Source organism: Homo sapiens, chromosome 17 (genome assembly GCF_000001405.40).
Source record: "Homo sapiens chromosome 17, GRCh38.p14 Primary Assembly".
In the NCBI taxonomy this organism is placed as follows: Eukaryota; Metazoa; Chordata; class Mammalia; order Primates; family Hominidae; genus Homo; species Homo sapiens.
In genome coordinates this window covers 64,705,375-64,707,936 of record NC_000017.11, presented here as the reverse complement: position 1 = coordinate 64,707,936, position 2,562 = coordinate 64,705,375, and the positions used below count along the sequence as shown (strand labels likewise).

At 47.3% G+C, this 2,562-nt stretch overlaps 1 annotated feature.

The window, feature by feature from the left end:
- Positions 354-1,553: an enhancer, noted in NCBI's record as "P300/CBP strongly-dependent group 1 enhancer chr17:62702502-62703701 (GRCh37/hg19 assembly coordinates)". NCBI's record gives its function as "activates an origin of replication core promoter dependent on BRD2, BRD4, P300/CBP, MED14 and CDK7 cofactors, with strong dependence on P300/CBP, by STARR-seq in HCT116 cells {active_cell/tissue: HCT116}" and the evidence as "EXISTENCE:reporter gene assay evidence [ECO:0000049][PMID:35650434]".

The window sequence follows — 2,562 nt, the reverse complement described above, 5'->3', positions numbered from 1 at the left end:
GTCTCAACTACTCGGGAGGCTGAGGCAGGAGACTTGCTTGAACCCAGGAGGTAGAGGTTGCAGTGAGCTGAGATTGCGTCGCTGCATTCCAGCCTGGGCGACAGAACAAGACTCCATATCAAAAAAAAAAAAAAAAAAAGCCTCTGTGGCCTTGGGGCTGGACCAGCTCAATGAAGTAGGGGGCTCCCTCTGCCAGGCTGCCTGAGCTTGAGGCCCCAGGGCTCAGTCAGGCCGATCTTGCCTCTTTACCCGCTACTGGGGAAGGTGCAGGAAGCGGATTTCCTAAGAAACACCTGGGCAATGGCCTTCTAGACTTGTCTACTTCTGACCTCAAGTCAAGGAAGAGAAGATTGGTTAAAATGACTTTCTACCATGCTATTTTCTTTGTCAGTTCCTGCAGAGCCTCCAACAAGGTGTGTGGGCATCCTCTGTCCTTCAGCATCAGTCACCCAAGCTGGGAACCCCAGAGGAGGAAGCACCTGTTTTTGCCCTAACTTAGGGAAGGGCTTTGGATTCTCCGCCATTCAGAATGAGTCACTGTGAGACTGCGGAGCGGATTTTACTCATCCCCCAGGAATGGACCCTTGGAAGGCTCCAGAATGACTAGCCTCAAGTGTTCTGTCTCAGGCACGGGGCATTTTCCCCCACTCCACGTCTGCAGTCACTTCCTCTCTGGACACATCCTGTTTCTGGGAGCAGGCGGCATGCCAAGCAGATTGCAGCCTCTGAGCAGACGGGCGGAGACATCCTTCCTCTTATTTCTAGTACCTAATCCCATCTTCCTTCCCAGTCAGAGATATCGATCAGCATCTCTGCTTTTCCCAGGTCCCTGCACGCCAGGGAGGGAGAGTAGAGAAGGAACATGTTTCTATTGGCAACTCCAACTTATTGGAAGTGCTTAGAAACCTCTGCTGATTTCTCACCAGCTTCTGAAGCACAGGTAATCAAGAGAAGATCTAGGGCAAGGAGCCATCTATTCATTCACTCAGTAAATATTTATTAAGTGCCTACTATGTGCCAAGCCCTGTTCTGGATGCCAGGCTACGGTTGTAAACAAAACATAGAAATCAATGTCCTCATAGCAATTACGTTCTGCTGGGAGGGACAGCTGATAAACAAGATAAAAGATATAAAAATTATAGCATGTGAGATAGTGATAAATGCTGAGCAAAGAAAAAAAGCTGGGAAAGCAATATGTAATGTCAGGCATTGGGGAAGTATGAAATGTCAAACCAGGGGGCTGGGAAAGTCCTTGCTGAGAAAGGAAATTTCGAGTAGAGACTTGACAGAGGCAAGGGAGTGAGCTGGCAGTTAGCTGGGGCAAGGGCATTCTAGGCAGTGGGAAGAGAAAGTGTAAAGTTCCTGAGATTAAGAGCTCACCTGGGCAGTTTGATGAACAGGGGAAAGGCCAGTTTGATGAACAGCATGGCTGGAATGGAGTGAGGACGGGAGCGTCACAGGAGTTAAAGTCAGTGTGGCTAAAAGGAGCAGTATCTTGCTACAATTTGTGGGTGGTAGTATGGACTTTGGTTTGCACCCAGCATGATACAGGAAGCCACTGGAGGGTTTTAATGGAGAAGTGACAGGCTCTGATTTATGTTTGAACAGGATCTTTTGGGAAGCGGCACCGATAGTATCCTGAACAGGGTGAGAGCAGGATGTGGGAGCAGCAAAACCACTTAGGAGGGCACTGCAGGCCAGGCGCTGTGGCTCACCCCTGTAATCCCAGCACTTTGGGAGGCTGAGGTGAGTGGATCACTTGAGGTCAGGAGTTCAAGACCAGGCTGGGCAACATGGTGAAACCCCGTCTCTACTAAAAATACAAAAATTAGCCGGGCATGGTGGTGTGCACCTGTAATCCCAGCTACTGGGGAGGCTGAGGCAGGAGAATTGCTTGAACCTGGACAGCGGAGGTTGCAGTGAGTTGAGATCACTTCAGTGCACTCCAGTCTGGGAGACTACATCTCAAAATAAATAAATAAAATAAGAGAAAAAAAGTAAAAGGGCACTGCAGTAGGCTAGGAGAGAGAGAATGGTGGTTTGGACAGGTAGTGGTAGGGAGTGGTAAGCTGTGATTCCAGAATATTCTGAAGATAGAGCTCACAGGATCTGCTGATAGACCAGATGTGGAGCATGAGAAAATAGAGAAAAAGATATACCCATGTTTCCAGCCTAAATAAATGGAAGAACAGAGTTGCTGTTAGTAAAGATGGAAAACCCATAGGAAGAATTGGCTCAGGGCAGAATATCAGAAGCTGTTGGCCATGGAAAGGTGGAGATGCCCATTGGACATCCATGTGCAGCTGTCAAGCAGACTTTGGAGATAACGGTCTGTAGTTCAGAGGAGAGGTTCTGGCTAGAGGTACAAATCTGGAGTCATGCTTTCAGTGCTGGGACTGGTCAGGTTGGATTTTGTTTCATATGGTGAATATTTAAAAAATGTAATCTTTCAAAATTTATAGTATGTGACCCTTTAAAGATGTAAGTCAGATTATGGGATTTTTCTACTTTGAACCTTCAAATTATTTCCCTTTTCATTCAGTTTGAAAAGCAAAGTCTGAA